The sequence below is a fragment of the Homo sapiens genome, chromosome 19 (genome assembly GCF_000001405.40).
Source record: "Homo sapiens chromosome 19, GRCh38.p14 Primary Assembly".
NCBI lineage: Eukaryota > Metazoa > Chordata > Mammalia > Primates > Hominidae > Homo > Homo sapiens.
Genome location: NC_000019.10, coordinates 44,009,213 through 44,025,300, shown reverse-complemented (window position 1 = coordinate 44,025,300; position 16,088 = coordinate 44,009,213). Strand labels below are relative to the sequence as shown.

Sequence of the window (16,088 nt, the reverse complement as noted above, 5' to 3'; positions counted from 1 at the left end):
GTGTGGACTCCACTTCCCAGAATTCCCCGGACTCGCCCGTGTGAGACAAAGGGCCCGCGACTCAAACAGAGCATTTGGACTATATCACTCTAACTCTGCAGCAAGCTTTCCTGAAGTGGAGTTGGAGATAGCATTTCAGTAAATGTCCTTTACCCACTGCTTATTCGGGACACACCCTGTTGACTGGTGCGTGCAGTCTCCATTCCAAACCACTATTGCCATTCCTATCGCTTCCATAAAGCCTAAGAAATCAAATATTTTCTTTCTCTGCCTTCATCTAGCTAGAAATTTTCATGGGACACAATTTTGGGAAGTGAGACATTAGGAGAAGTGAGCTGTCCTCTCCTGACAAGAAATGTGCTTGGCAGGCTGTGAGTACACGAGGAGTTGAAAGAGTAAAAAGGTGATCGTCTCAGTGGACTGTAGGTATTGGCGAGGTTCTAATATTACTGATGCTAGCATGCTGGTGGGACCAAGGTGGAAATACAAGTCAAAGTTGTTGGAGAGTAGTGCTGCAAATTATTATGGAGGAATATTTGCTAGAAAATGACGAGGTCTAAAATATGACCATGGGAGAGAGTGTCCCTTGATATTTCACATGAATCTCAGGTGGATTTTTTCATTTCTGAGAAAAATGTTACTGTGATTAAGGATTGCATTGAATCTATAGATATAGGTATTGACAGCCTTGCAATATCAAGTCGCCCAATCCATTAATAATGGATATATCTCCATTTATTTGCGCCTTCTTTAATTTTTTTTTTTTTTTTTTTGAGACAGAGTCTCACTCTGTCGCCCAAGCTGGAGTGCAGTGGCACAATCTTGGCTCACTGCAACCTCCGCCTCCTGAGTTCAAGCGATTCTCCTGCCTCAGCCTCCCAAGTAGCTGGGATTACAGGCACGTACCACCATACCTGGCCAATTTTTGTATTTTTAGTGAAGACAGGGGTTTCACCAGGTTGGCCAGGCTGATCTCGAACTCCTGGCCTCAAGTTATTCGCCTGCCTGGGCCTCACAAAGTGCTGGGATTACAGGCATAAGCCACCATGCCTGGGGTGCCTTCTTTAATTTTCTTTAGTAAGATGTTGCAAAATTCAGTGTCCAAGTGTTTCTTGTCATTGGTTAAGACAGTTCCTAAGTAATTTATTTATTTAATGCTATTGCAAAGGGAACTATTTTCCTTTTCAGATTAATTGTTTTTGTATAGAAATACAACTGCTTCTTCTATGTAGATATTTTTCCTGCAACTTTCTGACTTTACTAGCTCTAAGAGTTTTTTTTTCTTGTGAATTCTTTAGAATTTTTATATATAAGAACATGTCATTAGCATATAGACAATTTTACCTCTGTTTCCAATTTTAATAGCTTTATTTTCTTTTTCTATCTAATTGTTCTGCATAGAACTTCCAATACTACATTGACTAAATGTGGGAAAAGTGGAGAAAACTCATTGTGTTCCTGATATTAGAAGAAAAGCTTTCAGTCCTTCACCATTGAGTATGACAATCAGCTCTGAGAATTTCCATATATAGCCTTTATTTTGCTGGGGTAGTTTATTCTCCTTCTAGTTATTTGGTATTTCAATCATGAAAAGGTGCTAGGTGCTGAATTTTGTGAAACTGAATGTTCTGCATTCACTGACATGATGTGATTTATACCTTCCACTCTGCTCATGTGGAGTATTACATTGATATTTGTATGTTGAACCATAATTATATTCGCCTTCCAGGAATAAAACAGTTCGGTCACTAAGTGTAATCCTTTTAATATGCTGCTGGATCTTGCTGGTATTTTGCTGGTGAATTCTTGCATCAGTATTCATAAGGGATATTGGTGTATAATTTTATTGAATTGTCTTTTTCTGGTTTGGCATCAGGGTAATACTGACCTGACAGAAGGATCAAAGAAGTGTTCTCTCTTCTTGCATTTTTGGGAAGAGGTTGAGCAGCTATGGTGTTAAATGTTCCTTAAATGTGTTGAAGCGTTTGCCAGTGAAGCCATCTGATCCTGGGCTTTTCTACATTGGGAGGTTTTGGATTACTGATTCAATCTCCTTACTAGTTAGAGGTCTACTCAGATTTTTTTGTCTTCATAATTCAGATTTGGTAAGGTGTATGCTTTAAGGAATTTGTCTATTTCATCTAGTTATACAAATTCTTGGCATACAATTGTATATAGTATTCTATTACAATCATCTTTATTTCTGTAAAAATTGGTAATAATGTCCCCTCTTGTTTCTGATTTAGTTTCTTGAGCCTTCTGTCTTCATTTTTTATTCAATCTCACTGAAGTTTTCATAATTTTCTTATGAAAATAACCAACTCTTGGTTTCATTGATTTTCTTGGTTTTTCTATTCTCTATGTATCATTGCTTTAATGTTTATTATTTCCTTCCTTCCACTAGCTTTCTTATTCAGATTCTTTTTTGTAGTTCATGAATGTAAAATAGGGTTGTGAATTTGAGATATTTCTTCTTTTTTAATTTAAGTATTTACAGGTACAAATTTCACACCTATTACTGCTTTTTTTCTCATCCCACCAATTTTGACACATTGCTTTTATTTTTAGCTCTCTCCAGATATTTCTAATTTTACTTTTAATTTAGTCTGACATGTAGATTATTTAAGAATGTGTTGTTTCATTTCCACATACTTGTGAATTTTCCACTTTTCATGCTGCTATTGATTTCCAGGGTTTTTTGGCTAGGTTATAATTGGAAAAAAATATTTCCTATGGTACTAAAGTTTTAAATTTATTAAGACAATAAATTTAGTTTAATTAGTTCCCACTTGTCAACTTTAGTTTTATGACATAATATATGGCCTATCCTGGAGAGTGTTTCATGTATAAATAAGAAAATGTGTATTCTATTGTTGTTGTTGTATGAGGTATTCTGTATATGTCTTTTAGGTCCAATTGGTATGTAGGGTTTTTCAAGTCCTTTATTTCATTATTATCTTCTGTCTGGTCTTCTTATCTATTTGAAAGTGAGGTATGCAATGTCATTCCTCACAGAATTATAAAAAACTATTATAAAATTCATATGGAGTTGACTCCTTAGTGGAGTAGGCAGCACATTGGTCTCATAAAATTCATATGGAACCAAAAAAAGAGCCTGAATAACCAAAGCAATCCTCACCAAAAAGAACAAAGCTAGAGGCATCACACTATCAACCTTCTGACTACTGTAAGCCTACAGTAACCAAAACAGTATGGTACTGGCACAAATACAGACATATAAACCAATGAAACAAAATAGAAAACTCAGAAATAAAGCCACACACCTACAACTATCTGATCTTTGACAAAGGCAACAAAAACAAGCAACAGGGAAAGGACTCTCTATTCAATAAATGGTGCTGGGATAACTGGCTAGCCATATGCAGAAGAATGAAACTAGACCCTTACCTTTCACTATACACAAAAATTAACACAAGATGGATTCAAGATTTAAGTATAAGACCCCAAACTACAAAAATCCTACAAGAAAATAACAGAAAATACCCTTCTCGACATCAGCATTGGCAAAGAATTTTTGGCTAAGTCCCCCAAAAGCAGTTACAAGAAAAGTAAAAGTTGACAAGTGGGAACTAATTAAACTAAAGAGCTTCTGCACAGCAAAAGAAACTGTAACAGACAGCCTACAGCATGGAGAAGATATTCACAAACTATGCATCCAACAAAGGTCTAATATCCAGCATCTATAAGGAACTGAAACAAATCAACAAGCAAAAACCAAATAACACCATTAAAAAATAGGCAAAGGACATGAACAGACAGTTCCCAAAAGAAGAAATACACACAGCCAACAAACATATGAAAAGATGCTCATCATCTCTAACCATTTTAGACAACTGCAAATCAAAACCACAATGAGACACCATCTCACAGCAGTCAGAATGGCTATTAAGTCAAAAAACAACAGCTGGCAAGGCTGTAGAAAACAGGGAATGCTTATACACTGTTGATAGGAATGTAAATTAGTTCAGTCACTGTAAAAAGCAGTTTGCAGATTTCTCAAAGAACTTAAAATGGAACTACAATTCAACCCAGCAATCCTATTACTGGATATATACCCAAAGAAAAATAGATTATTATACCGAAAGACACATGCACTTGTATGTTAAGCACCATGGAATGCTATGCAACCATAAAAAAAGAATTGAAATCATGTCCTTCGCAGTAACGTGGATGGAGCTGGAGGACATAATCCTAAGTGAATTAACATAGGAACAGAAAACCAAATACTGCATGTTCTCACTTATAAGTGGGAGCTAAATATTGAGCACACATGGACATAAACATGTGAACAATAGTCACTGTGAACTAGTAGAGGGGGGATGTAGGGTGTGGGGCGTGTGTTGAAAAACTACCTATTGGATACTATGCTCACTATCTTGGTGCAATATACCCATGTAACAAACCTGCACGTATACCCACTGTATCTAAAATAAAAGTACAAATTTTAAAAAAGAAAGTGAGGTATGAAGTGTCCTACTACAGTTGTTCCTCAGTTTACAGGGGCGATTGTTTCCAGGAGCTCTGTATATACCAAAATCCACACATACTCAAGTTTATGGAACCTGTGCATACAAAAAGTTGGCCCTCCATATATTAGGTTTTCACATCCTATGAATATTGTATTTTCAATGTGTGTTTCACTAAAAAAAAATCCACATATAATTGGACCTGTGAAGTTCAAATCCATGTGGTTCAAGGGTCAACTGTATTACTGGGGAGCTGCCTATTTCTCTCTTTAATTCTGTATTTGCTTCATGTAATTTGGAGCTCTGATGTGTGGTGCACATATGTTTATAACTGCTATATCTTCTTGGTGGAATCACCCTTTAGCATTATATAGTTTTTCTTTGTCTCTGCCACTCTTTTCTGCCACTCTTTCTGTCTTTTTGTTACTATTGATATGGAAAAACTTTCCCATCATTTCACTTTAAGTCTATGCATGTTATTAGATCTAAAGCAAATCCCTTGTGCAGAGCATACACTTGGATACTGTTTTTTTCAATCATTTTACCAAACTACATCTTTTGGTTAGGGTGTTTAATTCATTTATGGTAAATCAATTATTCATAGGGAAGGTCTTACCATTTTATTTGTTTCTATATGTCTTCTGGCTCTTTTGCCTCATATCCTCCATTACTGCCTTCCTTGATGTTGATTTCTTTCTCTGTAGTGATACATTTTGAATCTCTTCTCATTTCCCTTTGTGTATGTTTCATTAGTATCTGTAGTTAGAAACATGTAACATTTCTGATTCATGGACTTACATGTAACATTCTACATGTAACATTCTAAAGTTGTAGCAAACTGTTTTCCATGGATACCAGCTTAACTTCAATCACGTGCAAAAACACTACTCATTCACAGCTTCTCCTTCTCCCCACTTTGTACAACTGATGTCATATATTATGTCTATACATATTGTCTACCCATTCACATAGATTTATCTCTCAAGTTTGAAGGACAGTTTGGCTGAATGTTGAATTCTCAATAGACGTGTGTGTGTATGTATGGTGTGTATGTGTTTTTAGCAAAGAATATATCAGCTAGTCTCAGATGTTTGCTGAGAAATCTGCTGACATCTTCATTAAAGATTTCTTTGTACATGACAAGTCACTTTGGACTTGCTGCTGTCAAATTTTTCGCTTGTCTTTGGTTTCCAACAATTTTTAAATAACATGTCTCAGTTGGGTACCTTTGGGTTTATCTTACTTGAAATGCATTGAGCTTCTTGGATTTACAGAATGATGTGTTTTTCATATTTGAGAAGTTTTCAGCTTTTATTTCTATAAGTAATCTCTCTTGGCTTTCTTTCTCTCTACCCAGGACACCTATAATGCACATGTGGTCCTTTAGGCTTTGTTTACTTTTAATCACTTCATTTCTTTTTGCTGCTGTGACACAATAATTCATAGGACTTGTCTTCATGTTCACTCATTCTGAAGATAACATAGTAGGAGTAGGGGTCATGGGCCTTAGATACACTTATCTGTGGCTTCAGAGCCTGCTCAAACCCAATCATACATATACCACTTACAAATGGAATACCGATGTGCACATACAATTTAAAGACAAGGAAGGGCCAACAACACCCAATTCATGATGGAAAGCTTGGCACGCATGCTAATTTGGTAGGTCATGGTTAAGTGCTCTGTCTCTGCTAAGACCACTAGCAAAATCATAGGCTGCTTTTCCAAAGAAGAGTAAGTAGGCTGGGGGTGGGGGCTCATACCTGTACTCATTGCTTTGTGAGGCTGAAGAATGAGAATCTCTTGATGCCAGGAGTTCAAGACCAGCCTGGGCAACAAAGCAAGGCCCTGTCTCTACCAAAAAGAGAAAGAGTAAGTATATGTAGAGGATGACTGGGCTTTGCTACAAAATCCTATCCATCTGTGGTTTGATTCATCAAATGTGACCAGCCAGTGGCTCCAAACATCACTCTCTGTCACTGATATTTCAATTACTTTTGGATCTCCTGGTCCACAGTGTCTTAGGGGTAGAGAAACTTACATGGCAGCCAGGATACATTACACAGCCTTATGGTATCTTAGTTGAGGCAAAATGTTTTTGGGTCAGACAAAAAAAGGCAGAGTAGCATATCCCAGCGAGGCATAAGTAGCATCCAGCAGCCAAGGAGGGCCACTAGACATTGTGACACTTTGTTTGGTTGTAGGAAGTACCATATGCTACTTGTCCTATATCTTAGAAGGGATATCTCAATAGTCCCACATCAGTGAACCTATGGAAATTTCACCAAAGTGGAAGGCCCATGAATATTTATAGGATTTATTCTTCCTTTCTGTCATGTATGTGTCTTACTAATATGCCTAGTGTAGTTCCTACTTTCTCCTCACCATGTCTGATCATCATATCAATGTGCCATTTGACAATAAGGATTCAGTCATTGCCCAAAAGAGTGATTATTTCTCCTTTTATGTACTCAGTCACAGGTTTATGCCCATGGTTTCCTATGGAGAACTCTGAAATGTATCAGGGCCCATACTCATCTAACATTGGCCTCCCCTTTATGTAAATGAATGTGGATTTGTAAACTGGACATGTCTTGGAATTGATTTGAGGGCTGTGACTGTGTTAGGTGGTTGCAGTTAGAGTTCTCTTCCCCTGCAATAGAACTCTTCTGACAACACAAACCCAGTGACAGTATCATAGATTTCCCATCAATTTATTTACTGTGAATACCAAGATCAACAAGGCATAGTTAAGCCCTGCATAGTGATTGACCTCATCTTTTTCTTTCCTTCTTTTTTTTTTTTTTTTTTTTTTTTTGAGATGGAGTCTCGCTCTGTCACCCAGGCTGGAGTGCAGTGGCGTAATCTCGGCTCACAGCAAGCTCTGCCTCCCGGGCTCATGCCATTCTCCTACCTCAGCCACCCAAGTAGCTGGGACTACAGGTGCGTGCCACCACAGCTGGCTAACTTTTTTGTATTTTTAGTAGAGATGGGGTTTCACCGTGTTAGCCAGGATGGTCTCGATCTCCTGACCTCGTGATCGACCCTACTCGGCCTCCCAAAGTGTTGGGATTACAGGCGTGAGCCACAGCGCCCAGCCTTCTTTCCTAATTTCTGAAGCCCAACTAGGAGCATCCAGAAAATACTACTATACTGATAAGTTTGTCTACTGTGTCCTAAACTAACAAATTCATGGTCACCAGAATCATTCCAATAGGCATTTGATTAGGATTATTCAGTATGATATTTGGCATATTATCACACCATGCCTTTCACAACCAGTTCCCTATGTTGCACTGGAAATAAAGTCAATAGTGCTCTTAAATTTAGTAAGAGTAGAAATCCAATTCTAGAAAACACAATCAATTTAGAAAACTCATCCTTAGGGTGCTCTTCCTCTAGAAGTTCTTGTGGGGCAAAATGTCTTTTGGTCAGCATTCAACCAGAGAAACAGAATCAGTATGACATATACAAGCAATTATTGCAAGGAACTCTACTTTGGCACGGTGGAACTGGCTAAGTCTATTAGTCTGTTCTCACACTGCTATAAAGAGCTACCTGGCTGGGTGCAGTGAGCTCACACCTGTAATCCCAGTACTTTGGGAGGCCAAGGCAGGTGGATCGCCTGAGGTCAGGAGTTCGAGACCAACCTGTCCAACATAGTAGAAACCCCGTTTCTACTAAGAATACAAAAATTAGTCTGGGCATGGTGGCACACATCTGTAATCCCAACTACTCGGGAGGCTGAGGCAGGAGAATAGCTCGAACCTGGGAGGCAGAAGTTGCAGTGAGCCGAGATCGTGCCACTGCACTCCAGCCTGGGTGACAAAGCAAGACTGCATCTCAAAAAAAAAAAAAAAAAAAAGAACTACCTGAGACTGGGTAATTTATGAAGAAAAGAGGTTTAATCGACTCACAGTTCTACAGGCCGTACAGGAAGCGTGGCTAGGAGGCCTTAGGAAATTTACAATCATGATGGAAAGTGAAAGGGAAGCAAGCATGTCTTACCATGGCAGAGCAGGAGAGAATGAGAGCAGGAGGAGGTGCTACACACTTTTAAAACAAGCAGATCTCATCAGAATTCCATAAAAAGACAGCACTAGGGGGATAGATGCTAAATCATTAGAAACAGCCCCCATAATCCAATCACCTCCCACCAGGCCCCACCTCCAACACTCAGGATCACAATTCAACATGAGATTTGGGTGGGGACACAGAGCCAAACCATATCACTAAGCAATTCCAAAATGCATATGGCTGGCCACCAGAAAGGTGAAGATGGGACTCTAACCCATGAGAGGAAGATGCCACCAGAAGATGCAATATTTTTTTCATTCAGAGAAGCTTCAGCTCTATTCTGAAGGATCTTCATGTGATTGATCAGGCCTACCCTTATTTAGCATAATATCCCTACTCAAAGCCAACTGATTATGGGCTGAATGTCTACAAAATACCATCACAATGTCTATATTAGTGCTTGATTAAATAGGGACTATAGTCTATGCACTATAAATCCATTAAAATCAATTATCCCACAGATGTTCATCAGCAGGAAACTGCCTTTTGAGTTTTTCAAATTTTTTTTGTATCTTTTCCTCAGGATCTACAGAAAAGTGTTTAATGAAAAAAATAATATTCAGTGCACAAGAGTACTACAGACATTAAAGATAAGATTGGAAGTCAATTTATTAAGAAAACCTTTAATATTGTCAAATCAGAGCAATCTCATTAGAATCTAGCATGCTTAGTATATTCATTTTGTAAAATCTACATTCCTCTTCCTTTCCCAGGTCTCTCTCTAGGAGAGAATTAACTGAAGAGTCTGGCACTGTTTTCAACTGATAAGAGACATTTACCATTTACCATGGAGTCTTCATTTGCATAATAAAAACCTTGGTCTCCACAACCCTTTCTCATAATCCAGACACTCCTTTCTATTGATTCCAGGCCTTTAGATAACTCTTTGAACCAACTGCCAATGAGAAAATCTTTGAACCCACCCAAGACCTGGAAGCACCTCCATGGCCAACTTTGAGTTGTCCCGCCTTTCCAGACCAAATCAATGTATACCTGTATTGACTGATATCTGCCTGTAACTTCTGTCCCCCTAAAATGTATAAAACCAAGCTATAACCCAACCACTTTGGGCACATGTTCTCAGGACCTTTTATGGCCTTGTCATGGGCCTTGGTTACTCATATTTGGCTCAGAATAAACCTCTTTATATTTTATAGAGTTTGACTCTTTTTGTCAACACCATGGTATATAACTCTGAATTGGCATCCAAACCAGGTCTTTGTTCTAACTGGATCCATAGCAACAGAAGCTCTGCTGCTGTCATACTATGTTCCCTGCCCATACACCTCTGGTTTTCAAAGGATCTGTTTGTTTTTTTTTAATTTTTTGAGATGGAGTTTTGCTCGTTACCCAGGCTGGAGTGCAATGACGTGATCTGGCTCACTGCAACCTCTGCCTCCTAGTTTCAAGTGATTCTCCCACCTCAGCCTCTTGAGTAGCTGCGATTACAGGCATGTGCCACCACACTCGGTTATTTTTGTATTTTTAGTAGAGACAGGGTTTCACCGTGTTGGCCAGGCTGGTTTCGAACTCCTGACCTCAGGTGAAGATCTGTTGCTTTAAAAGACAAAAAACAAACAACCTTCACACATATGTATATCTATTTCAATCTCTGAAATCACCTTTGTAAAAATTATAACAGTGAGAACATTATGACAGTGCAAGAGATCTCATCTAACCAACTCCATCTTGCTTTTAACCACCAAACTGCCCTTGGTAGTAATTCCTGGGCGTGGGCCCAGCTAACTTGGGGAGGAATTTAGTTTATAATTTAAATGGTAATAGCCCTTCCCCCAAACTAAACTGCCTTTGTAATACTATTGAAAGGCCCCACTAGTTTACGAGGATGAGAGGGGCCTGAATTCTAAGATATATGTGTAAAGGATTACCAGTCATTATTCTGATTTCCAGCTGTTATTCCAGAGGTCTTAAAATTTGCAAATTCCCCAGTTACTCCAGTAAATAACACCACTATTGTAGAACCTAAGACTGGCCTTTTGAGATGTCTTTTCAGGCTTCTGCATTTCTGACAACCAGATGGCCCCACCTAAACCCATGACTCTTGACTCAACTGGTCCTGTGGCCCCCACCCAGAAGTGGACTTAATGCACAAGGACCATTTTTCACATCCCCAGCCAACCAGCAGCACCCATTCCCTAGCCCCCTGCCTGTCAAACTATCTATGAAAAACCCTAGCCTCCAAATTTTCAAGGAGGCTGATTTGAGTAATAATAAAACCCTTGTCTCCCATTTAGCCAGTTCTATGTGTATTAAATTCTTTCGCTATTGTGAATTCTCTGTCTCGATAAATCAGCTGTGTCTGGGCACTGGGCAGGATCTCCAGTATTTGCACACTCCCTGACTTATCCCTAAAGAAGCATCACATGCTTTAATTACCAAGACAGTTAACCAGACTTCATCACTTTATCTGCATATTCTAAAAACCAGAGAATATATATATATTTTTGAGACAGAGTCTCACTCTGTTGCTCAGGCTGGAGTGCAGTGGCATGATCTCAGCTCACTGCAAGCTCTGCCTCCTGGGTTCACACCATTCTCCTGCCTCAGCCTCCCGAGTAGCTGGGACTACAGGCGCCCGCCACCACCTGGATAATTTTTTGTGTTTTTAGTAGAGATGGGGTTTCACCGTGTTAGCCAGGTTGGTCTCGATCTCCTGACCTCATGATCCACCACCCTCAGCCTCCCAAAGTGCTGGGATTACAGGCGTGAGCCACTGCGCCTGGCCCAACCAGAGAGTATTTCACTTTGAAATGACTTCAAAATGCCCTAGTCATTGTGAACTTACATCATATGACAATATAGAGCAATTTTATTCTGAGATTCTGAGTCCTGGTAGGTAAGTGATTAACGTTAATAAGTTTGCAAATTTATTGCACTAAATTTACTGCTTTGATAAAACTGATGTTCACTGAGAAAAAATGCATAAAATTATAAAATGGAAAAATACCAGCAAATATTCATTGCCAGAGGAAAGAATAGTTGTTCACAAATTACGTATATACACATTAAAAAGTCCCAGAAACACACAAAGATATTTGATTATGTTATGAAGGTTACAGTCAGATTTCACAAAGCTCACATTATGTTTTTCTCCTTTTACTGTATGTCTGGTTCCCTCATTTTATTGGTCTTATGTTATAGGAATAAATGCATTTCACACAAATTCTTGTTGAATACTTATTCCATTTTAAAATGGGGTGATATCATCCATGTGGTTTTCTACTTTTCACAGTTTTAACATCATAATCATAATTTCCTATCCCATCATTTCCAGGTAAAACACTTGTACCTTATACATTCTGATATACACTGCTTACAAAAGACTTATTTTTACTGCCAACAATAAAGAAGAGCATGTAAATGTCACTCCTACCCCAATCATGGATACATTTCATGAAATTACCAAACTCCGATAGGTTTCTCTTGGTATTTCATAGAGATAGGAAGAGAATATTAGGTTAGGTTTCCAAAAATTGTCAAATTGGCATAGCTTCTACCTGAGTTGTTTGATAAAATAAATGCTACCACAATTAGAAGGCCATTATATCAAGGCCTGCATGGAAATACAGAAGCAATCATGAGAATTCAGAACTAAGGAAGTTTTTTCCAACGTAACTACATCTGCCACGTAAAAAGTATTACTATAAATTTTGCCTTAACACTGTTGAAAAAAATGTAATTGTGATATATGCAGTGGACTGTTATTGACAAGTTAACAAACCATTTTCAGCCTGTAGTGTGAGAAGAGTTACAAATGATTGTTGAATTTATATTGTATGCAACCAATGGAGCATTAGACAAAGCCACTAGTAGTAAACTTCAGAACAGAGGATGAGGGGAAGCCAGCAGCCAAGTGCAACAGGGTAAGATTACCCAAAATAATGCTTTGGATTGCAGAACTGAGTGTATTCTGCATTTTAACTCGTGTCCCTGAATTATTTTTTGTAGATTTTCTCTCCTAGATGCAATTTTAAAATATCATATTTTCTCCTTTTGAGTCATTTAACACATACTAAACATGTAAGTGCTAATCAGTGTTAAGGTCCTGAGGATGCAGAAAACAAGGTACCTGTAGTTGACATTCTAGTGGTCACCACTTTTGACATGTTCATCATTAGGGTTTTGTAAATGTGTGAACAAACTCTTATTCTAAGGCCTGTCTCCTGAATGACAAGCGTAAGTTCTGTTTGCAACCCTACTGCACAATTTACAAGAGTTCTCTACTACGATGGTCCTAGGATGATGGGAGAATGCTGAGCTATGGTGAAACACTGAATTTAACTTAAACAAATGTTTTCTGTCCTACAAGCCTGGATGAAATATATTATCAGTATGGACTGTGATAAATTATGATATAAACACACACTGAAGTGCTTACCATATGCCTCTTTTTAATGTTTTGCCCCTTTGTGAACTCTCAAATGAGATTATAGACAACTGAGCAGAGACTTTATCACACACCTCATTACTAAGGATTCTGTCCAACGTGGACACTCTGGTGCAGTTGAGGACTTGAGGCCTGAGGTGGTATGAAGCCATATCACCCTAGCCACACTTCCATAGTTTTGCTCTTGTGTCAAGCCTCTGAGGCATAAGATTCGAGTGATCTAGCAATCCCACTATTGAGTATATCCAAAGCAAAGGAAATCAGTATGTGGATCAGATATCTACACTACCATGTTCATTGGAGCACTATTCTTCACAATAGTTAAGATATGGAACCCACCTATGTGTCCATCAATAGATAAATGAAGAAAAGGTGGCATATATACACAATAGAATACTCTTTGGGCATAAAAAGAAAACAAAATTGTGTCATTTGTGGCAACATAGATGAGCTTTGGAGGACATGTTAAACAATATAAGCTAAGCAAGGTAAGATAAATACTAACTGTCCTCACACACATATGGAAGCTAAAAAAGTTGATTTCATAGAATTAGTGAGTAAAACAGTGGTTCTAGAAGCAGGGAAGTGTAGGGGTTAGGTGAGATAGCCAAAGATTGGGTAACAAGATACATAAGTACTGCTAGATAGGAGAAATACATTCTAGTGTTCTAAAGCACCAAAGGTGACTATAATCAACAATAATTTATTGTTTCTTTTCAAATCGCTAGAACAATGGATTTTGAATTTTCCCAAAACAAAGAAATGTTAATTGTTTAAGGTAATACACTAATTACATCAATTTGATCATTACGTATTATATACACATATTAAAATTTCATACCATATCCCATATATATGTACAACTTACATATCATTTAAAAATAATGATAAAATTATATCCAGATTCAAGCGCCTCTTGTAGCGCTTCCCACAGTCCTCACATTTGGATGAGTTTTCTCCATTGTGGTCTCCTTGTTGGTCTTTACAGAAAGACCGGTGTACAAGCCTCTTTCCACAATCCTCACATTTGAAGGGTTTTTTCCGGCAGTGGAGTTTCTTATGATTCAAAATACTTGAAGCCCGGCTAAAGCTCTTCCCACATTCCTTACAATTATAAGGTCTCTCTCCAGTATGGACCCTCTGGTGCAAGTTAAGACCTGACTTACTAATGTAGCCCTTCCCACACTCCTCACATCTGTATGGTTTTTCTCCACTGTGGATTCGCTGATGGATCAAAAGATATGAGGACCATCTGAAGCTCTTCCCACATTCTTTACAATTGTACGGTTTCTGTCCTGTGTGAATTATCTGATGCTTATGCAAATCTAGGCTATCAGTGAAGCCTTTTCCACACTCCTCAGATTTGTACAGTTTCTCTGCTGTGTGGACCATGCAATGCCTATTAAGACTTGACCTAAGGCAGAAGCTCTTACCACATATTTCACATTTGAACGGCTTCTCCCCAGTATGAATTATCTGATGTTTCTGAAGCTGGAAATCGTGAATGAAGGCCCTCCCACATTTCTCACAAATATAAGGTTTCTCTCCTGTGTGTAATTTGCAGTGAACTTGAAGTATCGCTCTACATCTGAAGCCTTTCCCACATTGCTCACATTTGAATGGTTTCTCTCCAGTGTGGACTCTCTCACGAGTTTGCAGACATGAGCTCTGACTGAATTCCTTACCACGCATGTCACACTTAGAGAGTTTCTCTCTCAAGTGAACTCTCTGGTGAATACGAAGAGCTGAGATGTAACAGAAGCTTTTTCCACACTCATTGCATGTATGAGACTTCTCTCCTGAGTGGAACTGCTGAGGAGGATCAAAGATGGCAACATCACTGAAGGACTGTTTACACTTCCCATTCTGTGAAGGTTTCTGTCCTGTATGAATTATAGATAGTCCTGCCTCAACCTGGGAGGGGACATCACCTTGTTCAAAGAAGTGAGAATTATTTATGATGGAGTCTTGAGACTGGGTTAAGTCACTTGCAGTTTGTTCCCAGATTTGCTGGCAAGGGCAGTCTTCATGTGGTCCTGCTTCCGCAATAGTCTTGCCGCCTATAAGGACACAGAATGAAGAGATGTGGACAAATGAAGCCTTTGTTTGGTGTTTTTAAGATTTCACACTTAGGATATGGCATTCAACTTTAATGAATGTTCAGTTTATGTTTTCCCCATGAATCTTGTTTTCTGGTTTGTATGTGACCAATTTATAACCACACCATGTCTCATATGTAAAATCCTTGATGGAAATAACAGACTCCATTAAAAAACTGATATAATATATACATTTAATTTGTTACTATTTCTAAGGAATTTTCTGGTCAGTCAAAAATCTTGCATGATAAATTACTAAATTAAAACATTATGTTCATAGTGAAATATAAATCAAAAGGAAATTTAAGGAAAAACAATAACAAAATCAATAGTTTATATATCTGTGTTTATGTTGTATATCCTTATATAGAAGTTACCCTAAGTAAAAAGAAGTCAGAACTTTGTCCTCAGCATCTGAGAGGTAATCTCTAGGATCCTGACATATCATGCGGGAGGACAGTGTCTTTGTTTGTTAGGGTGCCAACTCTGGATCACTCTGGATAGTGAAACAATATGATTTAGGGTTGTGGCTGGCCACTCCTTTCGAGGGTGAGGGGTGGGAGACCGTCCTCCCCATGTCAGAAAGAACAAAAGTGTTGTTTAATCTGTGAAGTCTGTTATTTGTTACCAGCAACAGGGAATACAGTGTCCATGACAGGACAGAGTAACAGCAGGGAGGACAACGTGGCTGGAAAAGATGATGCAAGGGCGAGAGGACAGATGTAGTCAAGAGGCAGCAGGGGATGAAGAACAAACCTCAGGGTCTCTAAAAGCCAATAAAGAGGTTGTAACTTTAATAACATTAATAAACCATAAAGGCTTTTGGACCAAGGAGTGGAAAACTGACTTGCATTTCCCAAGGATCATTTTGGCTGCTCGGGGGAAAATAGATGTCAGGGTGGAAGGGAGGGAACAGGACCACCAGCCAGAAAGGGGTTGTAATAAACCAGGAAAGAGATTGGGCAATTTAGATCAGGGTGATATAAGTGGGCATGGTCAGAAGTAAAACAAATGGGA

The 16,088-nt window shown here is 38.6% G+C and overlaps 1 protein-coding gene and 1 long non-coding RNA gene across 3 annotated transcripts in view; one reads left to right on the top strand and one right to left on the bottom strand.

Annotated features, from left to right (window-relative positions):
• Nucleotides 19-4,477, top strand: ZNF222-DT (ZNF222 divergent transcript). Of its 2 annotated transcripts, none has more exons than NR_184028.1 (3): nt 19-186; nt 282-403; nt 1,402-4,477. It is a non-coding gene; the product is annotated as a ZNF222 divergent transcript (long non-coding RNA). The 2 variants fall into 2 exon arrangements; NR_184027.1 differs by having other exon boundaries at nt 282-422.
• Nucleotides 4,478-11,376: 6,899 nt separating this feature from the next.
• The window catches only part of ZNF230 (zinc finger protein 230), a 10,968-nt gene continuing 6,256 nt past the window's right edge, over nt 11,377-16,088 (bottom strand). The window contains exon 5 of the mRNA NM_006300.4: nt 11,377-15,032. Coding sequence (NP_006291.2) covers nt 13,837-15,032 — 1,196 coding nt within the window. The 3' untranslated portion in view covers nt 11,377-13,836. The remainder of the gene's footprint in view (nt 15,033-16,088) is intronic.